Raw genomic sequence first — 21,987 nt, 5'->3', positions numbered from 1 at the left:
AAAGCTTGCCTTGAGGTTTGACTTGAAGATCAGATAACTCCAAGCTTAAACTCCTTGGGAGAGACAAAGGAGGAACTTAGGTTTCTATCTCAAATATTTATTAAATATCTACTGTGTGCAGGACATTGTTCTAAAGCCTTGAAAAAAAACAACAAAATCCCTGTCTTTGAGTTACTATGGAACTTACTTCTTTCCTGTGATATTTTTGAAGCCTCAGTGGTGGTTGTATTTTGTTTTATTTACATTTAAGCCAGCATATTTATAAAATAAATACTATTTTATATAATAATATTACTTTATATTATAAAATAAACATTTTATATTATAAATATATTATAAAATAAACATTTTATATTATAAATATATTATAAAATAAACATTTTATGTTATAAATATATTATAAAATAAACATTTTATATTATAAATATTATATTATAAAATAATATTTTATGTTATTTAATATTTTATAATATATTGATATATTTTATAATATTTATATTAGGAAATACTATACTTACATGGTTTAAGAAAAGTAACTAGCAAATAAGAGAAAAGAAAGTAAAAATCTTCACACCTTCCCCACCCAACCACTAATCCCTCTTCACGGAGATAACCACCATTGACAGATTCTTGTGTGTCCTTCCAAAAATCTGTGCATCTACAAATACACAGTACACATTATAATATATAATAAACCCATGGGTCATTATAATAAACCCATAATTTTGCATCTTGCTTTATTCACTTGACAACACACTGTATATCTTAGAGATCCTTCCATGTCAGTACATAGAAGTTCATTTCATTCTTTTGAAGAGTCGCATAGTACGAAGTGTAAATGCTTCATAATTTATCTGTGCCTGGTGAGAGACATCAATGTTTTCTCTAGAATTTGTGCCCTCTGTGCGTGTCTGCAAGTATATCTGGGGAATAAATTTTTAGTGATAGGAATGGAATGTGCATTTTCTTTTTTTCTTTTTTTGGAGACAGTCTCGCTCTGTCGCCCAGGCTGGAGTGCAGTGGCGCGATCTCTGCTCACTGCAAGCTCCGCCTCCCGGATTCCCCCCATTCTCCTGCCTCAGTCTCCCGAGTAGCTGGAACTACAGGTGCCCGCCACCACGCCTGGCTAATTTTTTTGTATTTTTAGTAGAGACGGGGTTTCACCGTGTTAGCCAGGAGGAATGTGCATTTTCGCTTCAATAAATGTCAGTCTGTCTCCAAAGAGATTGTACTAGTGTACCCCTGAGGAATTAAAAGTCCTACCAACAGACACTTCTTTACATCAATATGGAAAGAAAAAAATGATTTACTGTTGAGCAAGCACAATTGTACATGCAAATAGGCAGCCTGCAACAGACTACAAAGTCAGGATGAAATTTCACACAATTAATCTAGCAAAGCAAAAGAAGAAAAAATAAAACTTCTCTTATCTCCTCAAGAGACAGGGGAATACATAATGAGATAGACAATGAGATAGACTCCTAGGTTAACACCACAGGTAGGTGTTTACATTTCAAAAAGCCTCTGAAGCCCTCAACCTTAGAGACGTCTTTGTTTTGTAAACCAGGAGACTGGGCTTCTCTAGCCCCAGGGGAGAATGTAAAGGGTTACATTCCAAAAGGTTGGAGTATAGGGTTCACAATCGGTAGGCTTTCAAGAAAGAAGCTGCCTCTTTTCCCTTTATAAGCAAAAAAAATTCTTTTTTTAAAAATAATAATAATAATACTCTTTTTAAATTATCTCCACACCAACAGTGGAGCTGAGCACCTGTTTAAGGGGAGTAATTATTGGTGGTGGTGATGGTGGTGTGGTATTTTGGGTTTATTTTTAAGCTCAGATACAAAATAGAAGTGTAGGGTAAACACACCTGATATAGCAATAACTGAAGCATACCCTTAGAATAACCACATATGGCAGACACGTCTGAATGGGTGTTCCAAGCTAGAGAGTCCAGGAGTGGTCAACCTGGAGACTCATTCCTTGTCTGTGAGGAACATCTGAGCCCCCAGCCCATCCCGTGGAACATGGGCCATACAGGAGATTGAGGCCTGAGTTTTTGGTTACATGAAGGCTGCCAGGTGGAGGCCATTAAGGGGAGGCTGTTAAGTGAGCATGCTATAGAAACTGCATGCTATTTGCAAGTGGTTGTGGTTTTCCTGCCCAACCCACCACCACTGGACGGTATATAAGGTGAATATGTTGTCCAGCCTGCTGCCATGAGATCATTTCTGTCCGTAAAGCAGTTTTCCTGTTCAGCTCACTGCCACTGGACTCTCTCCCCTGTATGTAAGCCCCCAATAAAACCCCACATCTTGTTTGCTGACTCTACACCTCTTCTTTAGCCTCTTGAACATGGTGCCTTCCCTGTTGAGCTAATAGGAGTTCGGCACAAGAAGAAGTTATTTGGAATGCCCCATGACACTTCCCACTACCCAAGGTACTCCCTCCACCTGACATTCATTCCATTTAGCAATCCAGAAAAATCCACTGTAAATCTTCCCAGGAGCGAGCCCTGTGTGAGGTTATGTGGGGAGGTCCCCAGTGGAAGGGGCAAGACCCTGTCTTCTGGGAACTCTGTTAAATTGAGCAGATGAAGCCCAAACACCAAGTTCTTGGGTTCCGGGCAGAATGGCACAGAATGCCACAGAGCAAAGGAGAAGTCATTTCTGCTTGGGATGAAGGAGGAGTTTGTAGAAGAGCTAGAACAAAAGCCAGGCTTCCAAGAATTACAACAGTCATGGCTTATTCCCAAAGTCTTATTTTGAAAATGTTCAAACCTACAGAAAAGTGGAATGGCAAATGCTAATATAACCTTGGCACCTAGATTGCTGTGTCAATATCTTGCTGTATTTTTGCTCTCTCTATATAAGGATATGAAAGTAAGCTGGAGGCAGCATGACCTTTCACTCACATGTACTTCAGTACCCATCTCTTAACTAACTGCAATGCCATTATCATTGCCAAGAGAGTTAATATTAATTCAATAATATCATCTAATAATAATATATGGTCCATATTTTAATTTCTTTACTTGTTCAAAAATGTCTTATAGGTATGGCTGTTGTGTTTTTGTTTGTTTGAACCAATCTAGGGTCACATACTGTGTTATGATAATATCTGTTTTAATCTAGAACTTTGCTTTTTAAAGTGTGGTCCTGGGCCTTGTTAGAAATTCAAAATCTCAGGGCTCACCCCAGATCTCCTGAATCCGAATCTGCATTTTAACAAGCTCCTCAGGTGATCTGTATGCACATTAAAGTTTGAGAAGCACCGAGCTAAAATCTCCTTTGCCCTTTGGTGTTTGTTTTAAATAACATTGACCTTTTTTTAAAGGGTCCAGGCCAATTCTGTTGTAGAAATCCATTCATAGCCTGGATTTGTCTTAGTATTAACTCATGGTTATACTCAGATGAAACATTTTTAGTAAGAATAGTATATAGGTAATTCTATATACGTCTTATTGTAGCACAGCTAGAGACATATGTCAGGTTGTCCCATTTTTTTTGACTATAGGTTTAGTCACTTGATTAAAGCGGTGACCACCAACTATCGCCTTTGTAAAACATTTTTTCTTTCTCATTAACAAGTAATCTGGCCAGGAGCAGTGGCTCATGCCTGTAATCCCAACACTTTGGGAGGCAAAGGTGTGTGGATCACTTGAGGCCAGGATTTCAAGACCAGGCTGGCCAACATGGCGAAATCCTGTCTCTACAAAAAATACTAAAATTAGCCGGATGTGGTGGCACACACCTGTAGTCCCAGCTACTAGGGAGGCTGAGGCAGGAGAATCTCTTGAACCCAGGAGGCCAAGGTTGCAGTGAACAGAGATGGCACCACTGCACTCCAGCCTGAGTGACAGAGTGAGATTTCATCTCAAAAAAAAAAAAAGAAAGAAAGAAAGAAAGAAAGAAAGAAAGAAAGAAAGAAAGAAAAAGAAAGAAAAGTAATCTATGTATGGGATAATACTCTGAAGACATAAATACTCTTCACTTGGTGGTTTTGCCATTTCTTAATGATCCTTGTCTGAATCAGCTAATGCACTGAGGGTTGAAAAAGAGGGAATGCCTAAGTCTGTCACTCCTTCCAAATTTATTAGCTGTCATTCTTCTGTAGAGAAGAGCTCCCCATTGGAAAGATGGTGGCAGGAGGAGGAGGAGCAGGATATTCCAGGTGAGGCAAAAGAGAAAGCAGTGGCACAGCCCATAAGAAGGCAAGCCCAGGTGTGAGGAGAGGAATGGTAGGGCCAGAAGTCAGTCCAGATTGTACAGAGGAGAAGAAACGGAACTAGATGATAAAAAGATTTGATAGAAGAGACGGAGAGGACAGGATATCACTGCCATCTTCAAACTAGAAAGATTTCCTAAGCCCATATCTGAGCCCAAATCTATACTCAGCCTCCTACAGCCATCTCTCAAGACCTCAGGTGTTCTGATTGCCTACTGAGTAGTGTATTTAAGACTTTGCTACTCAAGGTGTGGTCCATGGCCTGGCAACATTGGCATCACCTGGATGCTCATCAAAAATGCAAAACCTAAGGGCCCCTCCCTACTGAGTCAGAATCTGCTTTTACCAAAATCCCCCGATGCTGGTCAGTCTTTTAAAGTGGGAGAAGCACTGCTTTAAGCCACTGTGGTCCACTTCTCACTTTGGCAGACCATGTGCTCCCAGTAAAAATAGTCTTCCCCTGAGGATTTTCTATGACTTCTATTCACTTTTCCATGAAATTTCAGGAGATTTTTCTGCTCAGCTTTATCCTGCCCTCATCTAGAGAGGCAATGTAGCAGGACATTGAAGAGCAGTGCCTTCAAAGTCAAACACCTAAGTTTGAATCCCTTCTGTGCTATTCGCCACCTGTGGGACCTTCTATAAACATTATCACATTATGAAATCACTTCTCTAAGTCTTGATGAATCCGTAACTCTTGGGGTCAAGTTAAAGGCCAAATGAAATAGTGCATGTAGAGTAACCCTCATTAAGTGCCCAATGAATTAGCTTGAAAATAAGAGGTATCCTTGGCAAAAGTCCCTTTGGGCCATGAGCCAGAGCCCACCTTACAAGACTATGTGAGGGCAACAAGGAAAGGAATGTGGACTTCCCCTGGCATATTCCAAACAGAGCTGCCTTTGATCATTTTTGGTCCACGGGGGCATTTTGTGTCCAAAGCAAATTCAGGAGCTCATTGCATCTGCTGATCATTCCTCTGTGAAAAGAAACAAGCCTTTCAAGGTATTGAGGCAAATTAAGCACATCATTAACACCAAGGCAGTGCTCAAAATAGCTATGCTTTTCAAATACTTGCTAACACTTTATAATATCTTATGATGTCCACAATAACCCAGTGGAAAGATGGATGATTAGCCATCTAACCACTGATTAAAGGAGAAGAAAACACTCCAAGGCAAGGAAGATGGTTGGGATGGGGGTCATTTTACCTGGAGACAAACAGGTTAAACATGACCATTCCTCCCTCCATACATGAAAATAACTTTATTACTGTTGGGAATACTCATCAGACATCTACAGAGGCCAAAAACAGAGGAAGTACACTTAAGGAAGTATACCTCGTTGATAACCACGGAGACAAAGTTTCCTGAGCTACTCAGTGGAGCTGAGAATGAAAACCTGGGAGAGTCCATTTGTTTGTGCCTGCATTCAGCCTAGGCACTACCTTACACAAAGCCAAGTCATTGAGCAAGATAGTTCACATTTCCTGAGCTAGGACCCAGATCCCCAGACAAGATTAGGGAGAGAATTCTAGGACTGGGGGACATCTTGCCAAAGAGGAGTTGGTGAACAACACTTAGTGTAATACCTGTTTATGAACAGTCTTCACTGAATTTCAACAGCCATCATCTCCTTAGACATTGCTTCTCCACCTCCAAATGCAGGGACTGCTTATGGGAGAGGGGAGGAGGGAGGAATGAGCTCTTCTATCCTTTGTTTCTGGAAACAGCATCTCTCCTAGGGCAGTGGAAAGTACACCAGAGAATTTCAGTCCAAGATCTGCCTCTGACTCATGAGTGCCTTGGTTTCCTCCTCCATAAAATTAGCTTGATGGACTGAAAGATGTCTCAATCTCCCTCTGGCTTTGATTGTCTAATCTTGACTACCATGGGTAGCTAGGAGAAGCTGTAAAGACCTCATCCCAAGAGCTCTTCAAAATAGGAATAGTCACGCTTCTGTCATGGACTTCCTGGGCCCTGGGTGAAGGTTTAAATGACAGGTTTCTTTCCTGTTTGAGATGCTCTGCTTTTGACATCCCATGTCTGAAATTAGGAAACCAGAATGCATTCAAGTGACAGAGAGAAAAGAGGCTTTCCTTGACCCCCATATAAATTAGGTCCTCCTCTCTGATATTACTTCTCACAGCTGTGCTATTCAAAGTGTTCTGTGGGCCAGGAGTGTCAGTATTACTCGAAAGCTGCCAGAAATACAGAATGTTGGCCAGGTGCGGTGGCTCACGCTTGTAATCCCAGCACTTTGGGAGGCCCAGGCGGGCAGATCACAAGAGGTCAGGAGTTCAAGACCAGCCTGGTCAACATGGCGAAATCCCGTCTCTACTAAAAATACAAAAATTAGCCGGGGGTGGTGGTGGGCCCCTGTAGTCCCAGCTACTGGGGAGGCTGAGGTAGAGGAATTGCTCGAATCCAGGAGATGGAGGCTACAGTGAGCCGAGATTGCGCCACTGCACTCCAGCCTGGGTGACAGAGTGAGGCTCCATCTCAAAAAGAAAAAAATGCAGAATGTTAAACTCCCCCCAAATCTGCAGAATCAGAATTTGCATTTTAACGAGACTCCCAGGTGATTCATATGCACATTGAAGTTCTAACAGCACTACCTTAAAGCACTATGATTCTTTTCCTCCATAGCTCTTGCCACAACCTGCAATTCTAATTACACATTTATTTATATTTTTTAAATGGCTGCCTTAATGACTAAAGCATAAAATCCATAGGATGTCTTTTAGTGACTAACGTAGTTCCTACCACAGACCAGGTGCTCATTCAAGGTGTGCTGCATGAATGATTCTCTAGGACTTCCCGAACTGCTAGCAGCCTCTGCAATGATGGCTGTACCAGGTTTGCTATTCTAGCCTCTCTCACTGTCCCTGTATATGTCCCTGGGCAGCTTGATGAATTTGATGATTGTGGTAAGACATTTCAATGCAGATATTTTTCTTAGTGCATTTGCACATCATGCTAATCAATGGTCACGCTTGGCAGTAAGTTGTAAGTTGTTTATTAAATTTTAAAATGTTGTGTGTTGTCTCACAAGGGCAACATAAAGGGGAATTTTGTGATATCAAGTTTTCCTGCAAACTGCATGCATAACTGAAAGACTACAAAAACTTAGCTTTGTTAGGTTAAAAGCTTTCAACTAAGGCAACAAAGTCGTAGACTGTTACAGTAGGAAGGGCCTTCCAGGACAAGTTTGCCTCCCTTCCCCTGAGAAGGTAGGGCCCAAATGTTTAAGCTGACTTCCCCCATCTCCAGATTGGTGCTGTGCCAGGGCTTTGCCTTCAGGAGACCTCCTTGACTCACTACCAACCTCTTGCACTAGAGAAGAGATCCATTCATAAGAAAACAAGCTTTCAGCGGAAGGCAAATGACAGACCTCCCAGGGAAATGTTACAATAATAGGGGAACTCCAGATGGTCCTAGTGTTCATACAGAACACTAAGAAAATAAGCTGTGGGCGGCTGCTAATTTCTTGCTTTGGTAGAGGTTAGGAAGTTGGTTTTTTCGCATACACACGCTCACACCTCTCTAGGTCTTTACTAATATTTTAATTCAATGCAATACAGGAGATTCCAACCTGGGCAGGTCAAAAGATGAATAAAATACTTCATTCCTTATTGGCAGAATATTGTATGGGTGTCTCCATGGCTGGAGAGAAAGGGGAGGGACAATCAGGGTGTGAAACTTAGTGTCTGAAGAATTTATTAGGGGAAAAGAACTGTGCCTCTCTGCTTCTGTTAACTCCTTGTTGAGAGTCCTTGAACTAGAACCTCCCTTTAGTCACCTTCAATCCCCAGCCCAGGATTCCCTCCTTCAAAAGACAATCTGTTTCTATCAACCTCTTATTTGTGTAAATATTTATGTATATATTTATTACAGAATAAATAATATACTATGTAAATGTTTAAATATATAATATGCATTTGTATGTATACTACATGTGTATACATATTTGTATATTTAAATATAAACTTGTAATAAATCCATAAGGATGGGGACCCAATTTAATTATGTATGGTGTCCTCACAATGCTTGGCATATAAACACACAATTAATTCAGAATTTCCAACCACAGGAGACATAGAGATGTACCTTCCCAGGTATGTTTACAACATACGTTCACAGATGAATCAAACATGGAAAAAAAAAAAACACATCTACTTTTATGATATACTTGATTATTCTCATGTTGACCAGAAGGAAAAAAAAAGAAAAAAACACCCAAACATATGGAGGGGGGAAAAGCACCAGATTGGGAGTTGAGTCCTGGCTCTAGCCGAGTGTGATAGCTCACACCTGTAATCCCAGCACTTTGGGAGGCTGAGGCGGGTGGACCACAAGGTCAGGAGTTCGAGACCAACCTGGCCAATATGGTGAAACCCTGTGTCTACTAAAAATACAAAACTTAGCTGGGTGTGGTGGTGGGTGCCTGTAGTCCCAGCTACTCTGGAGACTGAGGCAGGAGAATCACCTGAACTGGGAGGCGGAGGTTGCAGTGAGCCAAGATAGTGCCACTGCACTCCAGCCTGGCAACAGAGCAAGACTCCTTTTTTTAATTAGCTGAGTGTAGTGGTGTGCACCTGTACTCCCAGCTACTCAGGAAGCTGAGGCAAGAGGATCGCTTGAACTCAGGAGGATGAAGCTGCAGTGACCCATGATCATACCACTGCACTCCAGCATGGGTGACAGAGTAAAACTTTGTCTAAAAAAAAAAAAAAAGTCCCAGCTCTGGTCCCTGATCTTCTATAAATTAACTATGTGGCCCTAGGCAAGTCATTTTATCTCACTCAACCCCGTGTCTCTTGCCTGTGGAACGGGGACAGTAATCCTCATCTTGCATTTCTAATAGATTGTCAAACAAATGGATAGAAAGCCCATTGGAAACTACATCAGTGAATTAATTTTTAAAATTCAGGTGGAGGATGAATTGTAAATTGCACAGTACTTTAAGGACAACAAAATGAAAAAGAAAAAAAAAAGTTGTTTCAACTGAATGTCACACCTCATGCTGCTTTTTTCTTTCTTTTCTTCCAGGACTCCATTCCCAACTCACCTGACAACGTCCCCCTCAAAGGAGGTAAGATCTTGGAATTAGGTGTAAATGTGTAGTAAGTCATCTAGATAAATGCCATAAAGTGTGAAACCTGATTATCAACCAGAAACAACTCTATGACATGACCCAACAGTAAAGTGGGTAGGGGTGGAGGCAAGGGCTGTTCAGGACTGAGCTGATGCACCTGAATTCATCTTAGCAGCTCCTGAACTCATCCCCACAAGTCTCCCACCAGCTCTTGACACTCCCACTAATGAAAATTCTACCTCTGGCATAGGCAGGACTGCAAGGCAGTGTTGTGTTAAATGCTTGAAACCTGAAATCAGATAAATGGGGGAATGAATCTTGGCTTGACTTCCCACTGGGGAGCCTCAACTCCTCATCTGTTAAATGGGAATAATAATAATACTCACCTCATCAAGGTATTGGAGAAGCCATTCAGATCTCATCTGTAAATTGCTTGGCATGGCAACCAGCACATAGTAATCATTAAATAACTAGTAATAGCTAAAATGCATAATGAAGTCAAGGACTTGTGAAAACAGACTTCCTCCTCACTCCTATATTTCCAATCATTGAAGTCACTAATTAACACGTCGTCTCTACTAGCCTCAGAGAGATGATATGCCGAGTTCAGTTAACATCGATGATGAGAAATTTTCAGATGACCTGATTAATGTTTTTATTGCTCAGAGAAGGAAAAGGAAGACCCAGAGAGGGAAAGTGAAGTATCTCGTCCAAGGTCATACAAAGCCAAGCCTAGAACCCAGAAAGATGTCCTCATCTCTGATACAGTGTCTTTTCTGCCCAAGAACACCAACTCCCATCTCAGTCCTGTAACCTTTAGAACCTAGATGGCAAACACAGCTGGATAGCCAGAAAGCTCAGAGCAAAAAGTAAGGAAGTGAGTTAATGTAGGCACCAGGGTAGTGGCACAAGAGTGTCCTTGAGACCAGAGGACACAGATGACTGGACACAGCTCCTCACACTCACAGCATCACACTTGGAGTGTCCTTCAAGTTTCCCTTGCCCATGCCTTTCCTGTGGTTTATCACCCAGAGACTTCAAAAATAGGGGCAAAAGTCCCCAAAAGACAGGGATTCTGGATCTTTCAAGGCAGACTAATAATCATAGCCTTGTCAACAATATCTCATTTTGGCTGGAATTACTTAGCATGTGACCTCAGTTCCTACCATGTCTATGTAAACAGTCACATTAATATTAAAAGGAGCATAGTAGAATGCAGGGGTAAGCAAACTTTTTCTACGAAGGGCCAGATAGTAAACGTTTAGGCTTTGGGGGTCACTATGTCTCTGTTGCAATTAGTCAGCTCTGCTGTTGTAGTGCTGAGCCAGGCTGACTACACGCAAATAAGTAACCACGGTTGCATTTCCATAAAACGTTATTTATCAAATGAGGTGGTGGGCTGGATTTGGCTTATGAATTGGAGGAGTCACTGCAGGCTTTGGAGACAGATGTTTCAGTTAAACATGTAATGCACGTTCACACGGAGCTTTGGAAAAACCAAAAGGCTCTGAGTGAATATAACTTGCCCCTCCCCACTCCCACTGTTCCACCACCACCTCCACCCAGACTTTCCAAGGAAGATGGAAACTTTTCATTTTTTGACAGGGAGAAGGGATTTTTAACATGAACACGGTCTCAGTGACGAGGATAGTTTTGATTAGGTAATAAGACCTTAGCCATTCTGGATCTCAGTTTCCTCGCCTAAAGAGCACTTCAATGCAAAGTCGCCAAGCATAGGGGCTCTAACTAGTATTCTGGTACCATAATAAAGTTGATAAAGTTTTCATCAGTCCAAAGTGAAGTACAAAAAATAAGGACACGGTAGCCCCCTTTTCACAGGGCCAACTATATCTAATGTAAGAGGCACTCTTCCTCTGAGACGGTCCTTCATTTTTGTGTGTCAAAATGTCCTTTTTTTACAACATGAAGTTGATATAGACAGGAGTTAAGTTGGCTTGTTTTTTGCCAGAGTTATTTTGTTTTGTTTTAATCATCACAATAGGCAAAATAAAAAGCTGTCCACTTCATATTGGTCTCTGAATTTTCATTCTGGGGAGAAATTTCCTGGGTCTATAAAGTCCAAACTTTTCACAACCATGGACGAAATCACTTATCACATTTCTTCTTATCTGGACCATGAATGGGAATATCAGAACACAAAGTAATCAAAACCAACCTCAGTTTACAATTCAATGTTTCCACAACCAGATTTTTTTAAATGCTAATAATATTCGGTTGGTGTAAAAGACATTGCAGCTTTTGCCGTTATGTTCAATGGCAAAAACCATGATTACTTTTGCACCAACTCAATAATCCCCATGGGACTGTGAAACTTTTGTTAAAGACCTTCCCATACCTCCTTTGGGTTCATTCTCACCTCAACCCTGTGAGCAAGCCACAGCAACATGGGGAATAGTCTTCCCATTTTGCAGATGATGCGCTGAGGCCTAAAGAAGCCAGGTGATTTGCCCAAGGTCATACAAGGAGTTAATGGCCAAGTGAGAATCCGGGGCTCCTCCCTCTTCTCCCTGCATGACCGGCTTCCACCATGAGATGCCAGTGACCTGCTGGAGGCAGTACCTGACTTTCTCTTGCTTTTAATGCAAGTCAACATCCCCTTAATTCAGCAATCTGCAGAGACACTGTAGTAGGGTGAGGTAGAAAAAATATTCCTGGGCTCCAGAACTGACCACATCAACAAGTCTTTTCTCCTCTCTGAGCCTCATCTGTAATATAACAGCAATGTACTAAATGCCCTGGAGGAGTCTCTCCAGCTTTGACCCTTTATGAGACTATAATTCTTTTGTACAATATGTAAAAATAGAAGAAAAAAAACCTAACAAAAATCTCAAGGAAATCTGAAGTCACAGCTTCCTTCCCCAACGAACCCAGCTTAAACAGGCACAGAAGCAGTAAATTGTCCCTTTTGAAAAAAGCCATTGCAAGACATTCCAGGCAGAGGGGAACCATCTTTCAGGTACTCTTGGGAGGAAGCTTCAGGGGCAGCATGTGGTTTGTCACTAGAAAGGAAAAGGGCAGAAGCTAGACACCTTCTAGGGAGCCCTTTTTCACTGGCTGTTGAAAATCTTCCACCATCAGCAGAAAATCAGCAGTGGCTCAGAGCCTGGGATGTAGAGCTATGTGCACATGCTAAAGAAAAAACACAGGATACACTTCGCTACAGAGGAAACACCAAAAATCAAACCCTTTTGGGTAATGAAAGGATTTCTGAGTCCTATCACAAGCTTCCCATTCCTGGCCAGGATAGCCCCCAGCCAACTGACACCTCACAGGCAGTAAGCCAGGAAGAGCGCCTGGGAGGAGAACCTTTCCCCCACACCCTTCTCCTTTCTGGGTTTTAGTTTTCTCACCCAGAAGACAGAGTTAATAATGATTTTTGCATGAAGCCACCATGAGGATGAAATGGGACAGCAATTGGACCCTCATCTGATACCTGGTTGAACCTATGTCCTTTGGGCATAGGATCCACTCTGTTCTTTCATATCCAGATAAAATGTTCCCATCTCATTTCACAAATGTCACGGAACCAAGGAGAATGTTGTAAAGAGAGTGAAGCTCATCCTTCTCCTCATCACTCCTTGTTTCACTTTTCTGCTTCCACCAAATTTTGAATCTCATGTCTGCACATGGTTTCTGGCTTATTTGCCCAAATCAGAGAAGACAGCCACTTTTGCCTTGATTTCCAAGTTTGAATAGTAACCCACATTTATGAATAGCGACATCTACAGAAGGATTTGGGGTATGCAGAGAAGCTGGTAGGGCAGTGTAGCACATCCCAGTGCAGCCCAGCAGATGACACAGAATTGAATATTAGGTCCCTCTGTTCTTGCAAGACCTCAGCTATTCCAGCCACTGGGAATTTCTCAAGGGACAGCTATCCTCCCTGGGGTTCAGCCCTCTGACACCTGAACTGACTCACTCTCCTTCCTGTCTTAATGTCCTTCTCCCATTTCCCCTCCACTTTCCACTTCCCTCATAAACTCTGCAGAAATTCAAATTGTTCTGACTTTGATTTGCAGAATGATTCTGGTCCTTTGATCTCACCTCTGGGCCTTCTCAATATACCCTGGCCCTTTTTATAACAAATCACCCCACCAAATGATAGCTCTTACCTGCACTAGAAGAATTCTGTAGTCAGTGTTCTTTCTTGTACTCCCTCATTGCATCCGTATGAGGCCACGGCAGAGTGAGAATAATGAACGTTGACAGGCATCACTATGTGCCAAGAATTGGCTGAGTACTTAGTAATTCACTCATGCAGTTCTCACAGTAAGCCCCCAGGAATCATAATTAGCCCCATTTTATAGGTAAGGAAACTGGAGCACAGACAGGCTTGTTGCCTTGCCTAAAATTTCAGAGCTGGTTAGGAGGGGTGAGACCTCAAATCCAGCGTATCCACCTTGCAGCCCTTGTGCTTAGCTGGGATTGTATTGTAGACCATCTGGGAAAACTCAGTACCGCAAATCCTTCCAGTGCCCCTACCTGCTGGCCAAGTCTACATATCCCCTTCCAGGGCTCTATCAGCTCTATCACTTCTTCGGCACCTGCGGCCCCCAGCTCTTGGCTTTCATGTCTCAGAAGTGCACTCTCTGTTACCAAGCTCAGGGTCACAGAGGGCCACACGCATGGGTTTGAATGAGGTGAAGTGCTGAGGGGAAACATGGTCCATGGCGAGGGTTCTAGAGGCTGAATTTCAGCTCTGGCTTTGCAGCTGAAGGGTCATGTGCCTTGGGACAATTCCTTCCCCACTGCCTACCAGTTAAGACAGATTTGTCTTTCCTACAAATGTAATGTAGCCTCCAACACCCAAAGGTTCCTGGAGGCCCTAAGGAAGTTGGAACAGTGGATAGACCTCGTGTGGGTCCTGACAACTCCACCCTCGCCTGAATTCAGTCTGTAGCCAAAGTTGGGGTATGAAATGCAGAGGACTGGCCCAGGAATTTGGAATGCTGACATTCAAGTCTTGGGACTTGAAGCAATTCACTTTCCCTCTCAGGGTCTTGGGTTTCCTGTTTTCTAAAATATCAGAAGTGAGGGGAACAAGCCAGATGTCCTAACCCTGAGATGGATTTTGCTTTGATTATAGCGTTCTATGAATCAAACAAATATCTTAGGATTCTTTGACCACTTTAACATTCTAACATTTGCAATTTTATAAGGCGTGGCAGCTACCCTCCTTGCCCCTCCACTTGCTAAAAAGAAAATGGCATTAAAGAAGACGAAGTGAGGTTGGCTCTCTAATTTTACCAAATGAACCCACCCCAAAGAAACAATAAAAGCTGCACCTTGAAGGCAGTGACATTAATCCAAGACTAGGTTCTCACTAAGACCCAACTATCCCTCATGTCCCATGGTCACAATCAGATGACAGCCGCCCTAGCGGAACACCACACTGGAAGCAGTCAAGAGGCAACGTGCACTTTGGGAGGCTGAGGCGGGTGGATCACAAGGTCAAGAGATCGAGACCATTCTGGCCAACATGGTGAAACCCTGTCTTCAAAAAAAAATACAAAAATTAGCTGGGCATGGTGGCACACGCCTGTAGTCCCAGCTACTCAAGAGGCTGAGGCAGGAGAATCGCTTGAACCCCAGAGGCGGAGATTGCAGTGAGCCAAGATCGCACTACTGCACTCCAGCCTGGCAACAGAGTGAGGGAGGGTAAGGGAGAGAAAGCAGGCCCATTCCTTGAAATTGTTTTGTTATGTATTTCATTCAAACTATCTAGACACAACATGTGTTGGCTTAAGTTTCTACATTTCAAGCAGCACAAACCATGGACTAGGGCACAGGACTCAACCACTGTTTGGTATAGTTTGGGTGGTAGACACCAGGCTCATTTTTATGCATTATCTCATTTAATCCTCTCTACAACTCTCCATGACAGTTATTTTATTATTCTCACTTTTAAGAAGAAAACAGGACAATTCAAAGAGGCTGCATGATTTTTGCAAAGCCACACAGCTAGTAATGGCAGACGTGGAATTTGAACATAAGTCTGTCTAACTTTCTAAAATTGATTTGAACCCAAAACGAACTTTCTAAAATTGCTGCCATACTTTTGCATTTTGAACAGGTAGGGAGTGTTTTTTTATTAAGGTTATTAGAATGTTAGCAAAATTTACCCTATGTCTCCAGACTCACCTTTCCTTTTAAATTATAGACTTTAAAGATGCTTCTTACTTACCCACAGTAATGTCAATTCAACCTGTGTTTAGTATAAATGAATTCCAAGGAAATGCCCATAGTGTCAGACAGGTTTACTAACTGTTGCAGATACACTGCAACAAGTCAGGACTGAAAAGACCTTAACATCCCAAGGAAAGTAGGTGGGGCAGGGGGCGGGGGGAGGCAGGATTTAAATTATTTAAAGGAATTCCAACTTGACCTTAATTTATATTTACTGATCACTTCCTATGTGCTCAGTCAGCACTAAGTGTGTTCATATGGGCATTCTCCAAATCCTTTTGGAAATCAGGGTCACCTAGTGGTCCTTTGTTTAACAAATGGTCCATCCTGCAGTTTATCTCTCTATTACTAGTTGGCTTAGTGATATCAAGGAATTGGTCAAAAGCCTCAATTACTTTTGCACCAACCTAATAGTTGAAATGACCCTTGCTCAGGTTAAGGACTCACTTTGAATCCAAATTTTATCCAGAGGGGAGAGACTGTCCTCTAGATGTCACTGTTGGGACTCTCCTGGATATTGTCCCTGAAGCCTGGAATGAAGAAGCCAGGGCATGGCAGATGCAGAGTCATTAGGATAATCCCTTTCCTTCTTGGAAGGATTAAAACATTTTTCAACAAATGTAAAGAGGATTCAGCACACATTCCTGGAAGCATCAGATAGCCTTAAACACTTAGGTACTTAATTGAGAAGCTCCCGTCCATCAAATAATGTCATGAGCTTCATTTTAATGAGCATTTCATCTGCCAATTCACTCTGCTAAGTGGCATTGCTAAACTGTGCCACTATAACAACAAAGAAAAGAGGAGTAAGGCAGAAAGAATCTACTTTACTGAGTGTCTCCTCTAGCCACAGGCCACACTGATCACTTGACATCCACGGTCTCATTGCATCTTCATGACATCCATACATTTAGGTTGATTGTTTTAATTCTCACTTAATGGATGTGGCAGCTGAGGCTCAGTAAGGGGAAATGACAGATCCAGAGCTAAAAGCTATGACCAGAATTCAGGTGCTCTTTTTGCGATGCATCGTGTCTTCCTTGTTCTTATATCAAAGGTGCTGTACATCTGGAAGGTACCTGGCACTCAAACCACATACCATCTGGCCGGGATGGTTGGCTTGGTCTGTTTTGCCATGGTAGAGCCGCCTTGAGCATATTTGCATCTTTATGTGCCCATGACTTGTAACTTGGCAGTGTTCAGCACATGGGCCTGAAGTCATCTGCTGGCATTCTCCCACAAGATGGAACCCAGGAGCTCATTAGTGCTTGTTTTCCCAGCACCTCCAGCTGTCTTGTCAGTTTTCAGTTCCAGTGTCTGTAGTGGCTGCAAACCCACTTCTTCCTGCATTTAACCCTTCCTATTCCACAGGAATACTGAAAGTCAGAGAAGAGCCCTGGATTAGAAGTCAGAAGCCCTGTGTTCTGAACCCAGCTCCACCATTTACCTACTGTGGAGTCTTGGGCCAGACCCTAGTCTCTCTGGGTAGTCTCGCCACTCCTAAAACTAGGATCTCTGTTAGCATGGCATTTAGTGACCCTTTCTGTCTAATATTGTGAAATCTCAAGGTGAGAGCTAGTCTTAAGGTTTCCATAATCTTGACCTTCTAGAATATGCTCCTTTCACCACCTCGAGCAACCTCTCTTTCTATCTCTCTCCTCTGTGTGAAACTGGCCAGGAGGGTTTTGTTGGCACATCTTTCTCTTCAGCCTCTCAAACAAAACCACAGAAAGTCCCATGATCCTTCTAGAAGAGGCTAAAGCTTGGAAAGATGATTTACAAAGCTGATGCATCTGAAAGCTTTGGTCCTCAGGGAAGTTCAGGCAGTGCTAGGGTTGTCTGAAAGATAGACTGCCCTACAGAAAGAGTAAGGAGCCCTGGTCTCTGGTCCTGTCTCTCTCACTAACTCTCTGGATGACCTAGGATCAGCCTGCCATAGGGGCAACATTGAGGAGCACATGGGTTATGTGTTCACCAAGCCTGAACCAGGCCATCTCAGGGAACTTTCATTTCTCCAAACTATGCAAATCCTTACAGAACCAGACTATTCATAACTTAGATTGTCCTCAGAGCTAAAATATTCTGTTCTACTACTGCAGGTGTCTGAAAACCTGAATGTGTGAAGACACAGTCTCCTACCTTGGGTAATGCAACATGCCCATAAAGATAGACAGGTGCAGCTGGGACCGACTCCCCATCCCAAACCTTCCCACCCCCACCACCAGCAGGTCTGATAGGGGATGGCTGAGTCTATACAGCCTGCTGAAATAAGCTAGGTAGGCCCTTTAAGACAGATCATCAAATCCACACTGCTCTTCATCTATTATGTTGGTGCAGAAGTAATTGCAGTTTTTGTTATTGCTTTTAATGCCAAAACCACAATTACTTTTGCACAAACCTAATAGGGACACTAGAGCCCAGAGAGGAGAAATCCCAGGATTCTAACTCCCAGGTCATCAACTCAGCCGTGACTTGCAGACAGTTCTCACTTCCCCCACTCTGATGCTCTGTTCTTCAAACTAAACCTCTCCAGGCATCACTTTTTGCTCCCTCTGCTCCCAGCCTTCAGAATTCCAGGGACATTGCAGAATTTCAGCTGCATGTAATGCCACTATTTATAAGTCACGTTTTTCTGTCTTCCTAACCAAAAAAGAAAGTTATATCATAGACTCACAGGGTGATGAGAAGACTCAGGCCACACGGCTGATGACCCATGAAATGTTCATCTAGCTCTTGATAAGAGCCTCATGACCTCCAAAGCAGCCCACCTCTTTTTTGAGCAGCACTGACTGGTCAACTCTGTGAGCTGCCAGCACTGTGACTCACAGTGTGACATAGGTGTTTTTAGTGTACGTCTTTCCATTGCTGCATCTGAGAAATGGGGATTAGAGCAGTGTTAGCTCTTAGCTGAGGGCTTCATCTCCTTCCTCTTCCACTTGGAGGTTTAGTGCTTGGGCCCCACGGTGTGCCGACAGCCTCATCAAGCATTAAAGGACAGAGGCTGTGCCCTTCTCTGGGGTCTTCTCCAAGTTTAACAGCCCATTCCCTCAATAGCTCCTCTAGTGTCCTGCTTTTAGCCCCTTTCTGAACCAGCTCTGGCAACATCATTCCTAAAAGGGCTGCCTGTGTTTTTCCCTTTAGCTAGAAACCATCTAAATGATTTTTAAAGAAAAACTAAAATATACCATGCCATTTGACTTCAGGAAATGCAAATGTTTCAAAATAAGGTGTTTTTTTTTTCCATCCTCGGGTTTCTCAGAATTACAACTGAGGTCAACCCAAAGGGGAAAAAACAACAAAAGAACCAGAACGTGTGAGAGGCAAGCCTGGGCTTGCACTTCTCCAGCCACCTGTTTACAGAGGCTCACCTGCCATAAGGGGTAAGGAGAACAGTGTAAGAGGGCTTTCGGCCAATGAGCAGAGCCTGTTCTTGATGTTTTGTGCTGGCCTCAGCCCAAGGCATGAATCTTATCTTCCCATCTAATCTAGCCTGACCTGCAATGCCAGTGGGAGAATGAGGCCCTGTGTTATTCTAGCCCTCAGGCAAAAGGCAAGCCAAGCGTCCTGATTCACCTCACTGTTGTCCTAAGTACTTACTCTGTATCCACAGAGGGAAACAAGAAAGATGAACTAGGTGATTCAATTCAACAAATATTTACAGAGCATCTGCTAGACTGGGCAGTGGGGGTTTATAAACAGGAGTCTCTGCCCTGAGGGTTCACTGTCTGATAGAATGGGCAAATAGGCAAAGGAAGTATCCTGGAGGAGCTGACTGCTAGGCTGTGTTTCAAACAAGGAAAAACTTGCCTGGTGAAGGAGGCAGTCCAGGTAGAGAGCCCAGCAAGTGCCAAGGTGTAATGATAAATCAACATTCCTAAATGGTATGTTTAGGGGGACTGCAAAGCCCCAAACTCCCGGACAGCAGTCAGGAATCCATTCGGGCAGCGGTCAGGCAGCCTGAGTTTGGATCTCTACTCCACCCCTGACTACCTGTGTGAATGTGAACAAGTCAGTTAACCTTTAAAAGGGTCCATTTCCTTATGTACAAGATAGACTTAATTATGGTACCTCTCTTATCGTGTTATTGTGAGAATTAAATGAAATAATGCATGTAGCATACTTAGCAGAGTACCTGGAAAATGGCTATCACTCAACATGTATTAGTTATGACCATTCATATTATTATCACTGTTCCTCCTCGTTATTATTACTATTGGAACATAAAGGGAAAGGGGAGGAGGGAAGGTGAGGGGTGAGACCAGAGAGTTCAGTAGGAGTCAGAACAATGGGGACCATGAAAGCCATGCTGAGGAGCTTGGGCCTGATCCTGCAGGCGAAAGGAGTCAGAAAGGGCTTCCATGCAAACAGACAGCCAGGTCTGTCTCCCTGGCTTGATGTTCTGCAGCTTAGAGTAGGAGGCTACGCCAGGAGGACTCTCTAACCATAGTCACAGTCCATTAGGAGCATAAGCAGCCATTAGTGTTGGGGTTCTGACTACAAACCCCAAGAGTGTGGGCTGTGGGCTGCAACAGGCAGGACCAGAGCACTGATCAGAGGATGCATGAGGATGAAACCAAGGGGATGACAGCTGACCCACTGGCTCTCACCACCAAGAGAGCTTTGGACCAGAAGCTCTATGTGGATGCAGCAGATAAGGAGGAAAACTGCCCCTGCTTCTGCCCGGAGTGCCTCTCGCAGTGAGCTTGTTCAGACAGCAGAGGGAACTCTTCATTTAACTTTCAACCACTCCAAAGCCCCCATGAAGCTATGAGGATGGCCAGGAGGGACTTTCTCAGGGCTGGGCAGAGACTGCAATGGGAAAGGTTGTGAGCCCAGCAGGTACTACTCGGCAATGCAGTGAGCAAATATCCCAGGGTGTGGCTGCTCCATTGAATGGGCCGTTGGCTGCCTACCGTCTGATGGATGGACTACATGGTCATCTCTGGTGACATCTTTGAGAAGATGTCCATGTCAGGTCAAAGATTGTCCAGTTTTACACATGGGGAAACCAAGGATCAAAGAAGAGATTAGCTCTGAATAAGTTGAATTCAAGTGTCATTGCAGGAAATGTATAACTTGAATCTTTGCATACAAAATATTAAGTAGTTACTGTAATAAAAAAAAGCTAAGCCACCATCACTAGTGAATATATGAAAAATATTTTTATTTCTTAAATACCATAATAACATAATATTATGTTTGCCTCTGCCAAGGAAGCTCCAAATAGCAGGACTTCTGTTAAGATTTCTTTAACCCTGTGTCCTCTTAAAATTGAACACCAAGATGTTTTTATCTTCGTTGTCTAGCAAAATAGCCTAGAACAGGAAACCTGGCCTCTGGAATTAGCCATGGGCAATTCCAGCATTTACACAAACTTGTCTGAACTTAGGCGATGGTATTGACCACCTCTAGGCATCAAAGTTAACCCTGCAGGATTAGTCTGAGAACTAGATTAGCTGATATATTACCCAGCTGTAAAAGTACCCAGACTAGTTTCTGGTGTGTGGTAGATAAGTTGACAGTATTTACTATCAGTATTATCATTCTCACTACCACTGCCTGGCAAGGCACCACGAAACAATGTATTTCACCTGCGTGGCCCCCAGATTTTTTTCCCATCTGTAAAAGGGGCTTAATAATACCCCTCTCACAGAGTTGCTGCAAAGATTAAGGAGATGAAATACGTATAGTGCCAAAAAATGGCCCCTGACACATTATAGGAATGGATGTCATATTTGTTTCCTTCCCTGATTTCCACAGTCTTCCATAAAAGTCCAAGTGGAAGCAATCAATAAAAATAAATTTAAAAAATTAAAATCCTAAAATACCTGATGGCAAAATGAGAAATAAAGAGCTTTTCTCCTTATTCTGAAAATGGAAAACAGAACGGTAATTGTCTCCATCAAAGTGTTGTAGAAAAAGATCAGGTATTTCCAGATCCCAAAACGGCAAAAGACATTTTAATGCATCGTCTCCTTATTTTTAGGAAATTGCTCAGAAGACCTCTTATGTATCCTGAAAAGGGCTCCATTCAAGAAGTCATGGGCCTACCTCCAAGGTCAGTAACCAAGCCCAGGAAACCTAAACATATGAAAACCGCTTCTGTGGCTTTTCAGCAACTTTTAAGCCAGAAGTCATAATTAGAGTCCCATGGCCAAATGTGACCTGCAGATGTGTACTGTTTAGTCTGCAGGAAATTTTTTTGTAATTTGAATTTGAATGTCTTAGCGGGGAGAGCGTCATTCTCCAAAGCTACAAGGCTTCTCTTTCCTCAGTCCCATTCACTCCTTTATGTTGCCTACCTGGCCTCTGTGGGCATTCATGGTCCCCACCACCACTGCCACCACCAGCCCCACCCCTCACCCCTCACCCCTCCTTATTCAGCTACCTACCAATTTCAGCAAAGTACACAGTCCTTTTCCTAATGCAAGGGAGGCAGGCACTTAATCTCTGCCTCTATGA

General features: G+C 42.9%; 1 protein-coding gene across 2 annotated transcripts in view, besides 2 other annotated features; it reads left to right on the top strand.

Annotated features, from left to right (window-relative positions):
- Window positions 1–21,987, top strand: part of TNFSF8 (TNF superfamily member 8) — a 37,253-nt gene that overhangs the window by 3,185 nt on the left and 12,081 nt on the right. For both annotated transcript variants that reach the window (NM_001252290.1, NM_001244.4), the window contains exons 2-3: window positions 9,273–9,315; window positions 21,512–21,583. In NM_001252290.1, coding sequence (NP_001239219.1) covers window positions 9,273–9,315; window positions 21,512–21,583 — 115 coding nt within the window. The remainder of the gene's footprint in view (window positions 1–9,272; window positions 9,316–21,511; window positions 21,584–21,987) is intronic.
- Window positions 18,821–19,442: an enhancer, noted in NCBI's record as "NANOG-H3K27ac hESC enhancer chr9:117670249-117670870 (GRCh37/hg19 assembly coordinates)". NCBI's record gives its function as "activates a minimal SCP1, AML or CMV promoter by ChIP-STARR-seq in naive H9 embryonic stem cells {active_cell/tissue: H9 hESC(naive)}" and the evidence as "EXISTENCE:reporter gene assay evidence [ECO:0000049][PMID:30033119]".
- Window positions 19,443–20,065: an enhancer, noted in NCBI's record as "H3K27ac hESC enhancer chr9:117669626-117670248 (GRCh37/hg19 assembly coordinates)". NCBI's record gives its function as "activates a minimal SCP1, AML or CMV promoter by ChIP-STARR-seq in naive H9 embryonic stem cells {active_cell/tissue: H9 hESC(naive)}" and the evidence as "EXISTENCE:reporter gene assay evidence [ECO:0000049][PMID:30033119]".

Source organism: Homo sapiens, chromosome 9 (assembly GCF_000001405.40).
Source record: "Homo sapiens chromosome 9, GRCh38.p14 Primary Assembly".
Classification (NCBI taxonomy): Eukaryota; Metazoa; Chordata; class Mammalia; order Primates; family Hominidae; genus Homo; species Homo sapiens.
The sequence above is the reverse complement of the archived record's forward strand: the minus strand, read 5'-3'. Positions and strand labels throughout refer to the sequence as shown.